General features: G+C 36.0%; 1 protein-coding gene across 19 annotated transcripts in view; it reads right to left on the bottom strand.

The window, feature by feature from the left end:
* IRAK4 (interleukin 1 receptor associated kinase 4) overlaps window positions 1-20517 on the bottom strand; it is a 30591-nt gene that overhangs the window by 6366 nt on the left and 3708 nt on the right. For 8 of the 19 annotated variants that reach the window (XM_011538431.3, XM_006719438.4, XM_005268945.5 and 5 more), the window contains 8 exons: window positions 14904-15073; window positions 11811-11956; window positions 10814-10996; window positions 10104-10264; window positions 9147-9211; window positions 5432-5546; window positions 4874-4983; window positions 686-869 (listed from right to left, as the gene is read on the bottom strand). In XM_011538431.3, coding sequence (XP_011536733.1) covers window positions 686-869; window positions 4874-4983; window positions 5432-5546; window positions 9147-9211; window positions 10104-10264; window positions 10814-10996; window positions 11811-11956; window positions 14904-15064 — 1125 coding nt within the window. In that variant the 5' untranslated portion in view covers window positions 15065-15073. Of the gene's footprint in view, window positions 1-685; window positions 870-4873; window positions 4984-5431; window positions 5547-9146; window positions 9212-10103; window positions 10265-10813; window positions 10997-11810; window positions 11957-12071; window positions 12139-14903; window positions 15074-19719; window positions 19875-20517 lie in introns of all 19 variants that reach the window. The other 11 variants (NM_001351341.2, NM_001351339.2, NM_001351340.2 and 8 more) reach the window with 6 other exon arrangements.

The following is a 20517-nucleotide window of genomic DNA, read 5'->3' as shown; positions in this document are numbered from 1 at the left end:
GGCATTTCTCACCATCCCTCCTTCAGGGACATCTTGGACCCCAACATGACCATAAGCAGCTCTTTTCTATTGGCAACTTACTAAAGAGTCAGCCCCACTCAACATATGTTCTAAGGACTCCCAATCCTTTTCCTGCCTCTTGGGGATTCTTCACAAGAATAATTTACTCTGGCTCTTAGGAGAATATTATTTTCTAAACATTAGGCATATTCTATAGCCCTATGCCTTATTTTCAGTGCTATGAAGTTAAATTTCCATATATGAAACACGTATGAAAAAATAAAATGAAGAAAAAGCCCCCGGCTTCTTCAACCACCCACACCTATCTCTTGCTCTATCTTAAAAGTTATTGGGAATAGAGAGGTAGATTAGTAAATGTCAAAAAATGTGAGACTAAAGTATATACTGTATGACATGATTCATTTAATGCATTAGGTGTCATGCTAATTCATAAAGACAGATGGCAAGAAAATCATTTCTTGTAGTCATTTCAAAAATCAACTCAAAAGTTTTACACATTGGAAGAAGTTTTTATAAACTTTCTGGTATAAGTAGAGGTTAATGTGAAAAACTTATATTGTTACATAAGAGAGATAAACAAGATGGGTGTATTAAATAATATTCTCTTCATTTTCACAATTATAGCAGAATGATTATTTTTAATAATTATGTATACGGAACTTACCACACCAAAGCTGTAAATATCAGATTTGGGTGTTATTTCTCCACGCAAAGCTTCTGGTGCCATATAAGCTGTTGTTCCCACAATTCTGCTAGTCATGACTGTCTGGGCAAACTTCTCAGAAGCCCGTGCAAGGCCAAAGTCAGATATTTTAGCAGTAAAAGCTTCATCCAGTAAGATATTTGCACTGAAAAAAATGTAAAGTTTGAAGAAAAAAATGTTTTTCCCACCCCAAAAAAGTCAAACAGTTCCTTAGCTAGATGTACGTATGTATGCATGTATATATGTATATGCATACATGCATATGTACATACATATTTACAGAGTGTAACGTTTTATAGTATGCATCATAAAAGCCTAAAGTTTATAGAAATAAACCTAGAATTCAGATTATAGCTAAAGAGAAGCAACTGTCCTCTTTTTTTATGTTTCTTGAGGAAAACATTTAGGAGAATAAAAATGAAATAAAACTGTCTACATTAGTAAGAGATATTTTCATTATTCCACAAATCATTTATTATAGGGTAAATTACTACAAAGTCTTCCAAGGCACCTTTATTAATTCCTTTCTTAGTATGTATCAATTCATTTCAAAACAAATTTCCAACCAAAGTATCTCAATTATGAATTTCTTTATTCTTTTGTTCTGTACTATCTGGCTTTTGAAGAGAAAAAAATATGGCCAAAATATCTCAATTAATTCATTATGTGCTTTCATACTTTAATTCAACACAATCTTATTGAGAACTCCCTATGTTGTGTAGTATTTAAGCTCACTGCTGGGCATGGCGGAGTCTTAAAATCTTGTCTGTGACAAAGGCATAAATAATTTTTTAAAACAATGGTAATATTAGGTACAAAATGCTGAGAGAACAACCATGTGCCTGGAAAAAGTAGGAAAAATTTCAAACAGAGGGTGAAAAGTGTGCTTAGTATTGAAGGATTATTAGAAGTTAATAGTTATATGAGGGAAAGAAAGGCACTCCAGGCAAATGGAGTAACAGGTACAAAGTGACAAAAACATGATATGGTATACATGGTCAACTTCAAGGAACGAGTGTCCAAGAAACATGGAGATAATTTGCATTTTATCCTGTGAGCAACAGGATACCAGCTAAAGTTTTCACAGTAGGAAACTGATGTTATTAGACTTAACTTTTAGGACCATGACCTAGTAGTGTGGTAGTGAATAGATGAGAACTGATAGGCTGGATTTAGGTTGACTACGAAGGTTTGTAACAAAGCAAATGGGAGATAATGAGGGTTTAAATGGTCATAACATGGGATAAATGGAAAGTGAAAATTTTGAGGCTCACACAACAGAATTTTGTAATTAGCATGATATAGAGAATGAGAACGTGTTCAGTTTGAGAGACAGAATGAACAGTGACTTCACTGGATCAGAAAGGAAATGTGGGAAGACTTTAGGTTGGGAAGAGCTGATGAGTTTGATTTCTAATGTTCTGACTTAAAGGCTACTGTGGGATACCCAGATGAAGTGTTTTTGGTACGGGGATACTAAAAATCCAGGATTGGAAGCTAATAATACAGATTCAAAAGACACTCACATATAAGTAGCAGTTAAAATTAACATAATATCACTCAGCAAAAACATACAGAGAGAGGCCAGGCGGGTGGCTAATGCCTGTAATCCCAGCACTTTGGGAGGCCAAGGCGGGCGGATCACCTGAGGTCGGGAGTTCAAGACCAACCTGATCAACATGGAGAAACCCCATCTCTACTAAAAATACAAAATTAGCAGAGCGTGGTGGTGGATGCCTGTAATCCAAGCTACTCAGGAGGCTGAGGCTCGAGAATCTCTTGAACCCGGGAGGCGACGGTTGCAGTGAGCCAAGACCGCGCCATCGCACTCCAGCCTGGGCAACAAGAGTGAAACTTGTCTCAAAAAAAAAAAAAAAAAGAACATACAGGGAGAAAAGAGACAATGATATAAGAACACAAGAAAGTACCAATCCATGAAGGATAGGAGATGGCGTTTCTTTTCTCATCTAGGGTCAGTTCCTCTGCTTGAGCTGCTTTCTACATTCTCAGTAACCCTACTGAACACATCATCTCATTTCTCTCTTCCATACTATCCTCTCCCTTTTAATCTGGATCCTTCCTATAGGCACATAAGCACAGCTTAATCTCTGCCAGCTTAAAAAAAGTTTCCTGAATGACTTATCTATTTCTAGCTGTCCCCTTCACTAGTAAAATGTCTTAAAAGACTTGTCTATACTCCTATCTCAGTTCTCTAGCTCTCACTCTCTCAACTACAATGTGATTTCTAAACCAACTACTACCTGGAAATGGGTTTCCATAAAGTCACCAAAGACCATGGTGATGCTAATCCAATGATTAAAGCCCTTGACTCTTTTTGACTACTCCCTCTTGGGAAACACTTTCTTTCCTCGTTTTCAGGGACTCCACACTCTCCAGGTTTTCATCTTACCCTTCTCTGTATGTGTACTTCCTTAGATTCCTTTTTGTGATCATCTCTTCTATTTGGCCATTAAGTCTTAGGGTTCCCCAAGACTTAATCTTGTGACCTTTTCTTAATCTACATCTCCCCTCAAGTGAATACAGTCACTTCAATTATCACCTGTATGCAAGTAATACACATTTATATCTTCAGCTCAGACCTCCAGCTCCAAATCTGTATATCACACTGTCTACCATCTCTACTACTACATCTTAAAAGCACCCCAAACACAACATGTACAAAAGAGAATTCACATTTTCTAACCATCTCTCTAACCCCAACCTAACCAAGTCTTTTTTCAGTCCTTTCTACATAAGTGAATCATGCCATAATCATTCCAGAATGCAAGTCTGGATGCCATTATTCCAGGAGTCATTCCTGATACTTCGCTCTTCCTGAACCCCTGCATAGCCAAGGTATCAACAAGTTTTGCCATTTTAATCTTTCTAATCTGCTCCCCTCTCTTCTTATGAACTGCCACCTATGATAGCCTACTAACTGCCTCTTCTTACAAACTGTTCTCTACACTAGAGTTAAAATCATCTTTGCAAAACTTAAATATGATGCCATATTCCTACTTAAAATTTTCAACGGCATCTCATTACACTTGTGATAAAACTAAAAGCCTTACCTTGATCTATTAAGTCCTATAGGACTTAGCTTCCTACACTTCTCTGTAGTTTTATCTCCAATCCACCACCCTATAACTTTCTGCATCTCAGTCATACTGCATTTACTTCATTTTTTTTTAGACAGAGTCTTACTTTATTACCCAGGCTGGGGAGCACTGGCACGATCATAGCTCACTTCAACCTTGAACTCCTGGGCTCAAGCCTCCTCCCTCCTCAGCTGCCCTAGTGTCTGGAACTGTAGGCATGCAATACCACGTTTGACTAGTTTTTTTGTAGAGATGAGGTCTTGCTATGTTGTTCAGGGAACATAGTCAGGTCTGCTACTCCTGGCCTCAAATGATCCTCCTATCTTGGCTCCCAAAGCATATTTCATTTCTTGTAACTCATCATGCTCCCATATTCTGTCTCACCACTGGTCTTACAAATGCAGTTCCTTCTGCCTAGAATGTTCTTCTCCCCATCATCCATTCTACAGTTACCCTCAAATTGTGTCTACTTATTTCCTGCCCATTCTTTGAATCTCTGCTTAAATGTCACTTTCTTGGAAACCCTTCTTTATATTAATCCTATGTACTATACTATATAATAATAATACATATAATATATATGTGAACTGTACATATTAACATTCTATAATTATTTTGTGCTTATTTGATTGATGTTGAGCTCTATATATGAATATGTTACTTATAGTAGGTAAATATTTAACTAGATAAATACACAAGAAAGAAAGAGAACTGAAAAGTACTCATGGAGGATGAAGGTGATTCAGAAAAGAATAGTGATCCATAAACTAAGAAAACAACTAATTTCCATAAGGCAAAAGTGTCAAGAAGAACAGAATAAACTACTATTAAAACAAACAAAAAAGGTCAAGTAGGATGAGTACTGGAAGTAGGTCACTGGGCTTGGAATAAAGGAGATTATAGATGTCCTTATTGAGAAGAGCTTTCATGGAGTGATGGGAAAAAAGTCCAGATGCTCTAGGTTAAGACCTGCATATGAATCGTGAATAGAGTGACAGCAAATTATTCTTTAAAGACAGCTTTCCAAAAACTTTTAAACAGTAGCATTTACCTTTTAATATCTCTATGAATATGATGATTTTCATGTAGAAAATTGATGCCATTAGCTGCACCCTGAGCAATCTTGCATCTCATGTGCCAAGAAAGTGGTGGAGTACCATCCTTATAAAGAAATAAACCAAATTAAAAATGAGAAAGAATAATAAAAAATCTACAGAGAATATATAACACAGAATATTTTTCTAGGCAACAACTGAAGATGATGTTATAGCATTAATAATTTAGGACTACATTTTTAAGTTATTAAAAATAATATCTAAATAAGCTCAAATGGGTGTTTACATTTGTTATTTGAAGATAAAAATATATAAAAGCATCTTCCTAGTATAGTCTTAACTGAATTCTACATTTAAGATTACCACCTAATAAAATGGCAACCCAGTTGTTGACATATCAACTGTATAATTTGTTGACATATCAACTGTATAATTTTCATAGAGCAGGAAAAATATGAAAGTGAATTTGGTTTAAATAATCCAGTAACAAAATGAATATTAATATTCCAGCATATAAACAAAAAGCCAAACAATCTGATGAACAAATAGCTTACCAAGCAAGAGAGTCTGTCTAGCAATGAACCATTAGGCATGTAAACATATACTAAGCAGAGGTCATCTCCATCACTTGAGAAACCAAGTAGTTCTACTAAGTTTTCATGTTGACACCTGTGACAAATAATTTTTCATGCAAAATTATTATAATAAATATATATTCAGCTATAGGTTGGAAGTTATTCAAAGTTTTAATAGAAAAAAAGAGCAAAAAAATAGTATGTTATATATTATTTCTAACTTGATGTTTATGTTTATATATGTTTATTGTAACTGTTTATAATTTTCTGCAAATACTTCTCTTTTCAGCCAGTATTAATCAACATTAGAAGTAAAACCTCTTTTTCTTTTTTTTGAGACAGGGTCTAACTCTGTTGCCCAGGCTGGAGTGCAGTGGTGTAATCATAGCTCACTGCGGCCTCGACCATCTGGACTCAAGTGATCCTCCTAACTCATCCTCCCAAGTAGCTTGGACTACTGGTGTACACCACACTCAGCTACTTTTTAAATTTTTTTGTAAAGATGAGGTCTCACTGTGTTTCCCAGACTGGTCTCAAACTGCTGGCCTCAAGTGCTCCTACCACTTTGGCCTCCCAAAGTATTGGGATTACAGGTGTGAGCCACTACAGCTGGCCAAACCTCTTTCTATTTTACAGTAAAAGCTAAATAATTCAGATTTTTGGAACTTGTGATAAGTTTGGTTAAGGACTAGGCTGATGCTCACTTTCTTTAGCCCAATTTTCAATGATGGCACAAATAAGATTTCAAGAAGTCCGTTGAATTTTTATGCTAATACTGTCAAGAATTTTCTAACACACTCAAAGCACTGATTTACAGACATGATCTTGAATCACATCTAATTTACATGTTTTTGATCTTTAATCACACTGGATTATTTATAACCTAATTTGAGTGTCTTTATATACTTGAGAGTAATAAAACTAAAGAGACCTACAATCTAATAAAGTGGCAGCATCTGTGGTAAGACGAAAGAAAACAGGGCTCAGAGTTATACATCCTAAATTTAAAGTCTAGTTCTGCCCCCTCCTGGATATGTGACCTACCGCAAGTTAACAGCCTTACTGAGCCTCAGCTCCTTTATCTGCTAAATGCAGAAAACAGTATGTAATATGGATGCTGAGACAATTAAATGAGCAAATGTAAACATGACAGCCTAGAAACGTATCTGGCACATGATAAGTGTTTTATTATTTAAGTGCTTATTCATTTTGTTCATTCAAAATGATCCACAATTCTAGCAGTTCATTATATCAATTTCTTCTAGTCTCATAAATATTTGAAGAAGTGCAAATTAAAACAGTAAGTGTCCCATTTTCCACCAAACTGGCACATTTTAAACATGAGTAGTTAACGTTTGCTGAATTTATACTATAAACGAGGCAGTGTGGCAAGTGATTTATCTGTTTTATTTAATCCTCACAATAACTTAAGTAAGTACTATTGTCCCATTTTATAGATGAGAAAATTAACGAATAGAAAGTTAAAAAACTTGGCCAAGTTCATTCTGCTAGTAAGATCCAGAGACTGGCACTTATTAAAAAATTGTAATAATAGGCCGGGCGCAGTGACTCACGCCTGTATTCCCAGCCGAGGCAGGCAGATCACGACGTCAGATCTAAACCATCCTGGCTAACGTGGTGAAACCCCGTCTCTACTAAAAATACAAAAACAAAATTAGCCGGGCATGGTGACGGTCGCCTGTAGTCCCAGCTACTCTGGAGGCTGAGGCGGGAGAATGGCGTGAACCTGGGAGGCGGAGCTTGCAGTGAGCCAAGATCGCACCACTGCATTCCAGCCTGGGCAACAGAGCGAGATTCCGTCTCAAAAAAAAAAAAAAAAAAAAAAAAAGTAATGATATTAAATGAAGGTAAGGAACCAGTAAAGTTTGAAATTGTAATACATTGCTGGTAGTAACTTATCTCAAAAGCCATTTGAATGTGTATTTAGAAAGTCTTTAAAAAGTTCATGCATTCCTACCTAGTAATTCTTTTTCTAGGACTTTACCCTAGATGATAAAGTAAGTATAACTGCATTTAAAGATTTATGTGCAAAGAACTTTAAAGAAGCTTTATTTTTAATACTGAAAATTAGAAACAAACCTAGCTATGGTTAAATAAAATATGATTTTCACATATGCTAGACTGTTGTACAATAATTTAAAATGTTTTCAAATTATTTTTAGTGACATGGGAAAATGCTACACACACATCATGAAGCAAGTATATAAAAATATTAGCAGTGGTTATCTCTGAGTGATATATTTGAGAGATGGTTTGTATTATTAAGTTCCGGGATACATGTACAGAATGTGCAGGTTTGTCATACAGGTAAACGTGTACCATAGTGGTTTGCTGCACCTATCAACCCATCACCTACGTATTAAGTCCTGCATGCATATAGGCTTGTATATTTTAAAAATGTTTTCCTGTATTTTCCAGATGACCTACTGTGAACAAGTTACTTTTAGAATTGGAGAGTAGGGGTAGGAGTGAAGAAGACAAATCCTGAAAAAAAAAGTTTGATCTTTTTTCAGCATGTATCATTTTTACCGTGCATAAATCAATTCTAGTCTATTCTTCTTACTTGAGGTTAGGTAACTATGATTGGTGATTTACAGCAGTGGGTTTAATGGGTATAATTTGGTAAATCCCATTACGATTCAGATCTAAAGTTCAGGCTCCGCAATCAAACAGATCTGGATTTCAATCCCATCTCTAACACTTACTGGCTATGTGATCTTGGACAAGCTATTTAATGTTTCTAAATCTCAGTTAACAAACAAAATGGGCAGTTGTAACAGTTGTAAGGGTTAGACAGACAATGCACATAAAGTACATAGCACAATGTCTGGCATGTTGCACACACTCAAATATCAATCACTATTAATCACTATAATAATTAGAATACATTTCCTACTTTGTCCCTCCTACTTTTCCTGATGATGTCCAACAATTTTCCAGCACACAGGATCAATGCCTTCTAAGCATCCTTACAGATAACATGACTCTAGTTGCTCTATAGATGCTACTTTATATATAAGGGCCTATTACTCTATAGATAGTTGTTTTTAAGTATCTCTACAATTGATCTCTCATGAATTCTGGAAGTGGAAAACATGATAATGAAGGACATGATAGTGAAATTTCACGTAACTTTGTTGTGACTTAAAATAATGACTGCGGCCAGGCGTGGTCACGCCTGTAATCCCAGCTCTTTGGGAGGCTGAGGCAGGTGGATCACAAGGTCAGGAGATCGAGACTATCCTGGCTAACACGGTGAAACCCCGTCTCTACTAAAAATACAGAAAAAAATTAGCCAGGCATGGTGGCACACGCCTGTAGGTCCAGCTACTCGGGAGGCTGAGGCAGGAGAATCGCTTGAACCTGGGAGGCAGAGGTTGCAGTGAGCCGAGATCATGCCACTGCACTCCAGCTTGGGCAAAAGAGCGAGACTCTGTCTCAAAAAAAATAAATAAATAAAAATGACTGCTATTTAATCTCCAGGCATATGAGTATATGTAATCATAGAATTATGGAGCCAAAAGTACTTTCAATTTCTCTAATCTAAACACTTTATTTTAATTTCATATATGTGCAAACATCACTAGTTCATGGCATACTCTAGAGTGAACCAGGTTCTTTACTCCTTGTCTTTTTTCTTTCCACTACACCGCACTGCCAGATTAAGACTTACTTTGCCATTACTTTTATTTCTTGATCAAACTGCTGTTTCAGTTCTTCAGTAGTAATGTCAACCATCTGAAAAAATAAAATATACAATGTAATACTACACAATTCTAAGGTTCCTAATGCTCAGAGGGATCAAGAGATCAGCTGGCTCATCTCCCTTTCTTTAAAACAATAGTGTATTATTCTCCCAATTCTACAGAATAACTGAGATCTAGAAATACTAGTGATTTGCTCAAGGCCCATGGCTGGTTAGTGGAATGAAAAATATATATAAATTTCACTGAGTTGTGGAAACAAAATGAAATAACACGAAATTTCACTACACAAAAAAATTTGAAAAAAATTCTAGGAAACAGAAAACATAAGCAATTTAGGTGCAAAATGGAAAAAAAAACCCTACAAAAGCCCTGCAACATATATGACAAAGAGTGACTATCTTTATCACATACATATGCATTCTATTGATATTTTTAGGCTCTAACAAAAGATTTAGAATATAACAAGTAAGTAAAAGGTAAACACCTCAGTAGAAATGGCAACAAAGGACACAGATAAAAAAAATTTTAATGTTTTTTCTTAATGTATACTTCCTAAATTTTATTTTTAAATGGGAAAAGTAATGCAAACAAGGTTTTTTAAAAATAGTTTTCCTGGTATCTTACCATTTTAATCTTGATTACACATGAAGCACTATGTGGAGCAGGGCTTCTCAACTTTAGTTTGTGAATCTCCCAAAATTGTATGTATGATCTTGTGTACATGGACATAACCACATTTTTCTAGGGGTAGGGTCCATAGTGTTCAACAGATTTTAAAATTTTAAGAACTACTATTTAGAATGATGTTTATTTAAAGAAAATACATACTGAAATAATGTATTTCCTAAAGATTAACTTTAAAACCTATTATAGGGCACACTATGAAGCAACTCTTTCTTTTTATTCCTGAAAATATAACTTACTGCTGCAAGCTTCTTCACTGCCACAGTTGTGTTATTTACGTAGCCTTTATATACAACTCCAAATCCTCCCTCTCCCATTTTATTACCACCAACAGAAATGGGTCGTTCATCAAAGTTATTTGTGACATTCTTCAATTCATAAAATGAAAAACTGTGAAAACCTATGTCAAAATAAGAAAAACATGCTTAAATTTTAAAAATTCGTTTTAATAATTATAATATTTTCTCATTTGAAGATTTCACATATATGCAAATATTTATGATTTTGAATTAGACAAGATGAGAGAAGATAAAACCATTTCTAAAATACAAATTATAAGTTTTTCTTGAGAACTCTGTTTGGTGATCCTACCCTCTGAACACTGTAGTCACCCACCCAAAATTCTAGTCACACATTTGAGTGGGTCTAGTCTACCTACCCAAAACTCTAGTCACATATTTTATTTTAAAAAGTGACCTTTCCAAGTTATGTAAATATTTACTTATTTTTTTTCATAGCTTCTCTGGTTGTTTGCATGTCCTATTGCCTCTAATCACTGATTAATACAATGAAGATGGTTCTTAATATATCAGGAGGAAACAACTCACAAAAGAGCTATTGCCAGTGTGCCTGTGATTGCTGCACAAACAAAAGAGCAAGAGCTTTCTTTTAAAGCACTGGTAGTCTTAATGACAAATCCCTAGTGGAAAGCACTGAAAATGTTACTTACGTGTATCACTAACTTCTAAACTTTTATTTTCTGGACTTGAGGAGTCAGGTGGCATATAGCTTTGTTCAAGATTCTGCACAGGTGTCATCAATGTCCTGTCTTTGTCACAGAAAGGCATCTGTTTTTGCTGAACTGTTATAGCTTCTTTAGAAGGTAGTGTATTAGCAGTTTTGGGAACAGCATCTAACAAATGAAGTAAGATACAAGTGGTTTTTCAGTAAGAAAAAGTGGTTGTGAAAAAGTTAAACTAGAAACTTGGTTCATTTAATATCATTCCAGTTTCTACAGGTTGGTCTCATATTCTCACAGCACACACAAGAAGCTGCCTAGTAAGAATCTGTAAGTTATAATGAAGATGGGTAAAGAGAGTAAGGCAGTGTTTTCAAACAGTGATCCATGAGCCACCTATATCAGAGGCACTGAAGCACCTGTTTAAGAATATAGACCTTAAACCCAATTCCAGAATTCTGATTACATAGATTTGGAACAGACCCTAGGAAACTACATGTTTAACCAGAACCTAAGTGATTCTTATGCATGATAAAGGTTGAGAACCACTGGTGTGAAAGGCATCAAAGGAAAAAAAGAAAGCTTATAAGGAAGGCAACTAGACACTACCACATCAGAATACAATTTTTTAAAATTATGATTATAGAGTCCCATCAGGGTAGAAGTTGAAGATGAAAAAAAGGAAGAACTCAAAATTATAATTACTTTCTTACAGCCTAAGCCAGAAGTATGAAGTCTTTCCTTCTAAACTTCCTGTTGGCACAAAACTATCTAACTCTTACGAAGCTTCTATCACCTTAGCAGCAGAGTCCACAGTGTCCTTTGTCTGTGCTGCTTTTTAAAGAGTTGAGGAGTGCTGAAAGAAAGGGACTCTCAAATGTAAGCTTCATCTACTATGAGAAAAAAGGAAGAGTAAGAAGAAACATTTATATTTCTGCCATTTGTCTTTCCACCCTAATTGTGGACACCCTGGTCACAATCAGTTTACCTGGGAGCAAAAGACTCGCAGGAGCAAAAAATTCATTTTGGATCAAAAGATCCACAAGATCACCAACTGTGCAATTTGTGGTGCCCCAGTCAAACAGTAATTCAGAAGTGGGACTTTTTCCAGTTTGAAGTAATGCTTCAAATCTCCTTAAAAGTAAGTAACAAAGAAACAAAATTAGTCTATTGTCTTAGTCCATTTTGTGCTGCAATAATAGAATACCACAGACAGGGTAATTTATAAATAATAGTTAATTTGGCTCACGGTTCTGGAGGCTGGGAAGTCCAAGATCGAGAGGCTGCATCTGGTTAGGGCCTTCTTGCTACATCATCTCATGGTGGAAGGGCAGAAGGGCAAAAGAGCATGCACACGTGCATGTGAAAGAGAAAAAAAAAGAGAGAGAGAGAAAAAGAAAAATAGGGCCTAACTTATCCTTTTATCAGAAACCCACTCCCTAGATAACTAACCCACTCCTGCCATGACGACATTAATCCACTCATAAGGGCAAAGCTCTCATGGCCTAACTACCCTTTAAAGGTCCCACCTATCAACCCTGTTGCAATGGGTATTAAGTTTCTAACACATGAACTTTTGGGGACACATTCAAACAATAGCATTTATAAACTGAGGTCATATGAAAATAGGTGTTGATCTCCCCTGCCCATTTTGCCCACAGCATCTCCTACAACATTAAAGAAAAGGGACAACAAGAGAACCAGCAAGAATTACAGAGAGACAGGAAAGATAGGAGGAAAAAAGATGCCAAAGATGATGATAATAATTTACTGGGTACTTACTGGATATTTACTTAGTGGGTTATAGGATGCACACACATGAGCATGTTCAAAGATATTATGATTATCATATGAATTTACTAGTGAAAAAGCCAGGCTTGGAGAGGTAGAGTAACCAGCCCATAGCCACACAGCCAATATGATGTATCCAAGTTGAGGTACAAATTCAGATCTCATTTGACAAAAGAGTGTATTCTTAATCTACTAGCAATATTACTTCCCACATGACTTAAGACTCTGATAGCTATATAATTTTTAATAAATGCACCTGCTTAATTAAAGAAACAGAACACACAAAAACTTAGGAAATTATTCCTTTGATCTTAACTGTAATTCAATTAAATTGAAAAAAATCACAAAGTCGGCTTTCAACCCATTTCTTTCCATTTCTTTAAAATCAAAAATTAGTTTTGAAAAGTAACATTTAAAAATTTAACCAATATTGTTTCTTTCTGTTTTTCCTCTAAAGATTTTATTTTTAAAAATTTCAAACTTACAGAAAAGTTGAAAAAATGATAGAATGAACAACCATTCACCTAGATTCACCAATTGAATAATTGATAAAATTGTGCCATATCTGGGCTCTTGTGCATTCTCTCTTTCAATCTGTGTCTGTGGGTGTGTGTGTTTTAGAATACGGGCCAGATGTCTTATAGAATGGGTCTAACAGCCTAGATTTATCTGACTACTTTCTCATGATTAAATTCAGATTAAGCATTTTGGTAGAAATACTACATAGGTATAATGTGCCTTTCCCATTGTATCACATCCAGGGGTACATATTAGCATTTTGTACCATTATTATTGGTGCTAAAGTTTGATCACTTGGTGAAGGAAGTGTACTTCAGATTTCCTCATTAAAAATGTACCCTTCTCTTTCATACTTCACAAGTAATTTGTGTACAATACTTTTTCTCTATCTATTGAGGGGGTCTTGCTCTGTCACTCAGGCTGGAGTGCAGTGGCATGATCATGGCTCACTGCAGCCTTGACTTCCTGGGCTCAGGTGATCCTCCCACCTCAACCTCCCAAGTAGCTGGGACTACAGGCGTGCACTACCACACCCAGCTAATTTTTTGTAGTGATGGGGTTTTACCATGTTGTCCAGGCTGGTCTTGAACTCCTGGGCTCAAGCAATCTGCCCACCTCGGTCTCCACAAGTGTTAGGATTACAGGCATGAGCCACTGTGCTCAGCCTATAATACTTTAAAATCTTGTGCATATCCTGCTCACATGCACGAGAACAACCACCTTTCACCTTATGCTTTTAGGTTCAGTGATGAGCCTTGCATGAATCAGTTACTCATTGGTGGTTGCAAATAGGTATTTTTCTCATTCTACCATTCTTTTCACAATTATTTGCAGGTATTATTCTGTAAAGAAAAGCTTTTTCTGTCACAGGAATGAGTCTTGGAAAAAAGAAAAAAAAAAGAGAAGAGCTTTATCTTCCTGCCACCACTGCCCCAATTATCTTCCATAAGTTTTTAACAGTAATATCAAAAAATTATCTTTAAACATTGGCTTAACACAGTTTAAACTTAAGCTTCTTTCAAGTAATTTAACATGTTCGCTCTTCTTATGAGGAAATATTTCCTGCAAGGGAGCCAAGTCTTTTAGGTTCTTTCCCAGATTAATGCTGAAAATAACAAATAGTCTTCTTTTCCTTTTGCTACCAAAGAAACATTTTGACATAGGTTTTAACTGCAATGACTGACAAAAATAAAATATGCATGCATATTTTACACTAAATTGAGCAGAGATGAGTAAAAAGGAAAAATTGAAATTATCTGAAGACAGCACTGAGAAATCCTAGCTAAGATTTAAGAATTCTGTGCACAGAAGTGTACACTTGTAAGCAACAACTTTAAAACGTCAAATTGAAAAAGTCCCAAAATACATTGTTAGAGTGTGTTAGAGATTCACACACTTTGAAATTTAAGCTCTAGATTTTTACCAGACATTCTTGTAACATTCTTATTTTCCTTCAATCTGGAAATGAGAAGTGTGAGGCAGAGTGAACTTCACTTGGCTTGCCAAACAGGGAACCACAGCAAAGGTGGGAATCTTGATTCTAACCCAAAAAACTTATTTGAGAGATCACAGTATTAGCCCTATTGACATATGGGACAAAGAAGACAAAACTGCAAAAGGAACAATCAAAAAGAGGTTACCTACTACCAATGTCTCCTCCATAGTGGAGAGGTTTACTTTCTAAACTGCCACATTAGACAGTACTTATACCAATTAATCATTCCATATTGTGATGTAAGAATTTAAAAATACAAAGAATTTTATCTGTTACCTTATGTGAAACTGATTGTATCTATCATCACCAGATGGTTTTTTAATAGCTACAGCTAACTTCTTCCATCCTTCTTGAGGATCAATAAAATCTGACAGCTTCCTAATTAGTCCAACATTGAGGCAGCGCACATATGTTGATGGTGTTATGGGTTTGTTCATCTTCTATTCCTAAAATATGGAAAAATCTCATTAAAATTTTACAGTACTTTTAGAGATGACATCTGTAAGCTTATATATCACACTTTGCTATATCATATGAAATGTCAGCAACTGATTATACCATAATAAAGAAACATTCCAAAGTCAAGTCATTGATATCCTAAGATGAAATTAAAATTGTAATTCATTTGTCCAATTATCCTCTGGGTTTGCTTCCTTTTTCCACCCATTAATAGCAATAAAAATCGGAGGACTTTTTTCTGACACTGATATTTTCCTAGTAAAATTTATAGAAAGGGGCAAAAAACTTACCAGAAAAATTCTTAAGAGTAATATCAACAAACTATCAGAATTAGCATATTCAGAAATCAAATCTATTAATAAAAACATTTACCTTTCAATTTATGTTTCTCAATTAGTACTTATTTACAATTAAAATTTATGCAACATTCTTTGGTAGAAGTAAAAAAAAAAAACGTACTGAAATGATTTGTGTAGCATTAACAGATATGGTCCACCCACCCACTTTTCACATACTTTGCTCTTCCTTGACCTCTGCACATTTTTTGAGTCCATGAGATCTGCCTGACCACAATTCATTTGCTACTACGCCAAAACCTGTGCTTCACCACTTCAACTACTCTCTAGACAGAATCTTTATTTCTGCAATCCCCCTTTACTTCTGCTACTCCATCCTGGAGAGCTGCAGCCAGGGATAAATCTAACAACTTTACTTGTACACCAGGGTTGCTGATGTGAATACAAATTTATGGTAACCCCCTTTCCACAGGGCCTTCAACACTGCCGTTAATCCTTCCACTTGTCTTCTCTCATAGTCCTTAGTGACTATTTCATACCTTTACTTCTTTCTATGTGGATTTTATTTGTTCTGCGTGTCCCTCATTCTCAATAGGAAATGATCTTTCCTTCCAATTAAGACAAATAGACTCAGATATTCTTCTGTCAATTATTTTTGCTTCCCTATATATATTTTAAAAATACAATTTTAGAGTAAATAATGTGTTCATATGGAACAACATTCTAAAACTATCAAAAAGAGTAAAAAGCGAAAAGCTTCTCTGTATCAGAGGCTTCTATGTTAGTATTCACTTCTTCTCTTTGGACTTCTTTGACCACATCTAAATAGGTCTAGCTGCCCTTCACCTAATTATCTTTCATCACTGCACAATGTATTTGTAATCATATACTTATTTGTTTACCTGTTTACTGTCTCCCATATTCGATTTTAAGATCCATGAGTTCAGGACCATGCTAATTTTATTCATGAATATACACCTAGTGACTTGCATACTGTAGATAATGGTATTGTTCAGTATTTACTTTTGGAACAACTAAATTATTTCCCAGTACAGTTTTATCATCTCTATTTTACAAAGGTGGTAAGTGAGAGATCCAGGACTTACAATTATGTCTGACTCCAAAAGTCATGCCATACAACTCTGCTTTTATAACACAATGCATTGTTCATGCCATTCTCTATTTCAGAAAGACCATTCCTTTCCTTTCATTCATGAATACATTCAGAAAATATTTATGTCAGTCTTTGTACTAACAAGTGGGAGCACAGAGAAGAGAAAATCTTTGTTTCCAAGCTGTTCAGTATACCAGGGGATACAAACAGTGACAGGGAGTGATAAATGCTGCAAGAATGTTATGGGGCCCAGAAAAGGGGCATCAAGCAGAGGCAGTCTGGAATAGGGATATCAAGACAGATTTGGTTGGAGTAGGAGGTTGGAAGGATGAATGAAAGGGAATGAGGATAAGCCCAAAAGAAAATTCCAGGCAGAGGGAATAGCATGGGAAAAGGTAAGAGCATGTGTGTCTCAGGCAAAGAGCTTGCTATGGCTGGACCACAGGATGCCTGTGATTAAGTGAGAAGAGATGAGGGTGGAAAGGTAGCAGGGCCAGATCATCATGTACCTCATGTGCTAAGACAAAGAGTTTGAACTTATAAACTAAAAGTTACAGGAGAGCCACTTTAGGATTTTTAGGAGGGATGTTAAATAATCTTATATGGTTAAGTGGATTCCTCTGGATAAAAATCAAAGGGATGTATATTGAGGCAAGAAAATTAGTTTGAAAACTTCTGCAATAATCCAGGTGAGCAGAAAGGAGAGCTTGGAAAAAGTATAGGGTAGGGGAATGGAGAGGTAAAACGTCAAAACATTTAGGAGGCCAAATCAAAACAATTTCACTAGAGATGAGCGATTAGAAGAAAGGGAGATAGAATGAAGTTTTTTTTTTTTTTTTGGCTCATGTTAAATGTGAAATATCTACCTTTGGCACTATCTAGGAGCCTTCATACCAAGTACTTATATATGTGGTCTGGAGCTTAGGAGAGAGGTTTCAGCAAAGAATGCTCATTATGTAAGTATTCTCATATATAAGGGGTTTTCAAAGAGTTCATGGAAAATGCATATCGTGCAAAAACCATGCATGGATTTCAATTTTTTTTTTTTTGCAAAATGTATTTCCAAAATAAACTCATACTAACTTATCATTCATGTCTAAACAGGATCTAGTTGAGACACTGAGAAGAATAAGACAGTTTGAAAAGAACCTCTACCACAGCAACATGAATTCTGCTAAAACTAAAGCAAGAACAAACACCACATTTATGGTGGAGGTTGGTTGGAAGAATGGTGAAATCACTGATGCTTTATTTATGGGGACAATGCCCCCAGAAAATCAGCAGTGTACAAATCAGTAACTCATTTTAAGGGATGAGATGATGTTGAAGATGAAGCCTGCTGCGGCAGACCATCCACATCGATTTTCGAGGAAAACATTCATCTCGTTTGTGCCCTAAATGAAGAGTACCTATAATTAACAGCAGAACCAACAGTGAACACCATAGACAACTAGTTCAGCCTATACAATTCTGACTGAAAATTAAAGTTGAGCAAACTTTCCACTTGATGGCTGCCCAAACTGTTGTACCCAGATCAGCTGCAGATGCGAGCAGAGCTTTCAATGGAAACTTTAAACAAGTGGGATGAAGATCCTAAACCATTTCCTCAAAAAATTGTAACAGGAGATGAAACATGACTTTACGAGTATGATCCTAAAGCACAATCAAAGCAATGGCTCCCCCAAAGTGGCAGTGGTCCAATTAAAGCAAAAGCAGACAGTCAAAAGCAAGGGCATGGCTGCAGGTTTTTGGGATGCTCAAGGTATTTTGCTTGCTGACTTTCTGGAGGGAAAAAGAATGGTAACATCTGCTTATTAGAGAGGGTTTTGAGAAACAGTAGCTTTTCTAAGTGTTTCTAAACTAAAGCTTTTCTGTTACAGCTTTAGTCAAATGTTTAGCAGAAAAACACCTGGGAAAGCTTCACCACAGAGTCCTTCTCCATCACAATGCCCCTGCTCTTTTCTCTCATCAAACAAGGGCAATTCTGTGAGTTTCAACTGGAAATCATTAGGCATCCACCTTACAGTCCTGATTTGTCTCCTTCTGACTTCTTTTTGTTTCCCAATCTTGAAAAATCTTCATAGAGCACCCATTTTTCTTCAGTTAATAATGTAAAAAAGACTTCATTGATGTGGTTAAATTCCCAGGACTCTCAGTTCTTTAGGGATGGCCCAAATGGCTGGTGTTATCGCTTACAAAAGTGTCTTGAACTTCATGGGCTTATGTTCAGAAATAAAGTTTACAGTTTTGTTTTTGTTTTTGGAGTCTTGCTCTATCATCCAGGCTGTAGTGCAGTGGTGCAATTTTGGCTTACTGCAACCTCTGCCTCCCAGGTTTAAGCGATTCTCCTGCCTCAGCCTCCCAAGTAGCTGGGATTACAGGTGTGCACCACCACACCCAGCTAATTCTTGTATTTTTGGTAGAGATGGGGTTTCGCCATGTTGACCAGGCTGGTCTTGAACTCCTGACCTCAGGTGATCTGCCCACCTCGGCCTCCCAAAGTGCTGGGATTACAGGTATGAGCCATAGTGCTGAGCCAAAGTTTACATTTTTTATCTTTTAATTCAATTTTTCCACAAACTTTTTGAAATGCCCTCATACAAATTAAGAGCATATACACATATACAGTTGAAGCAACAATAAAATGAGGTTGCCTATTAGGAATGCTTAGAATGGAAAGGAATGATGTGAAAGAAGAATTTTAAAAAATACTGCTTAGTCATGAAGGCAAGAAAAAAACCAGGATGGTAGCATACCAGAGACTTCTAGAAAAGGTGGCAGGTTGGTATAAAAGACTCAGAGAGGTCAAATAGACACTGATGGATATGTTAGACTCTGAAATCAGAAGGCCATTGGTGACTTGGGAACAGCTATAGTGAAAAAGTGAGTGAATGGCAAAAACAGATTTTCCAAGAAGTCTGGTTATGAAGGGAAGGAGAAAGAGAGAGAGAGGAGTATGAGGGGAGGGAAAATGGGGGTGGAGGGGTAGGGAAAGAGAGGGAGGAGAGCATGCAAGAGAGTAGCAGTTTTCAAATTTGGTCTCAGGACCTTTTACCCTCTTAAAAACTATTGTAGACCCCAAAGGGCTTTTGTTTATGTTGGTTATATCTACCAATATTTACCATAATAAATTGATGCTGAGAAACTTAAAAATTACTTATTAATTCATTTAAAATAATCATAAATATAGATGTTAGCATATATATTTTAATAAAATAATTACCTTTTCCTCAAAAACAGAAGAACAACATTGTTTTAAAGTTTTGCTAATCTCTTCAATATTTAACTTAATAGAAGAGAGCTGAATTCTTGTATCTGCTTCTGCACTCAACCCACTGCAGCATGTTGTTTTGGTTGATGTATATGAAGAAAATCCAGCTTCACACAGACATATAGTTATAAAGAAAGGTGTATTTTAATAGCCTTTTCACAAAGTAGTAGATATTTCTCTTTGATACTACACTAAAATTTGACAAGAAATAACTTCCTAAAGGTAAGCTGCAATGAGGAATCTGAAGCTGTATAAATTAACTTGGAACATTAAAATCCATTGCACTCTGAATGAATCTTTTAACTAAACATGATTTTGACCTTACAAATCTCCTGAAAGAGCATTAGGGACTCCAACCAGACTTTTGAGAACTGTTGGTGTTAAGGGTTTAAGACTTAAGCTGTTTGGCAATACAAATGGGATAATGAATAGCATATAGGGTGAAGAAATCAGCCTTGAATAGAGAGAAACCTCTTTTGAATCTAGAAAGAAGGAAGCAGAGGTTTAAATACAGATATATTTGAAGGGAGAAGAGTTCCCACATACTGTTATTTTTTCTGTGAAACAGGAAATGAAGTCATCTAGGGCCAGGTAAAAGAATAGCCCACATACCTTAAAGGCCACCTGGTAAATGCCTATTATTCCTTCAAGCCCAATTCAAAAGGCACTGTTAGCTTCCCCTGATTGTCATCTCTTTTGCTCCAAAATGTCACCTAGTCATTCTTCTGTTATAATAATTATTATGTTTTA

Source organism: Homo sapiens, chromosome 12, assembly GCF_000001405.40.
Source record: "Homo sapiens chromosome 12, GRCh38.p14 Primary Assembly".
Lineage (NCBI taxonomy): Eukaryota > Metazoa > Chordata > Mammalia > Primates > Hominidae > Homo > Homo sapiens.
Note: the sequence above shows the minus strand (reverse complement) of the source record. Positions and strands in the feature narration are given on the sequence as shown.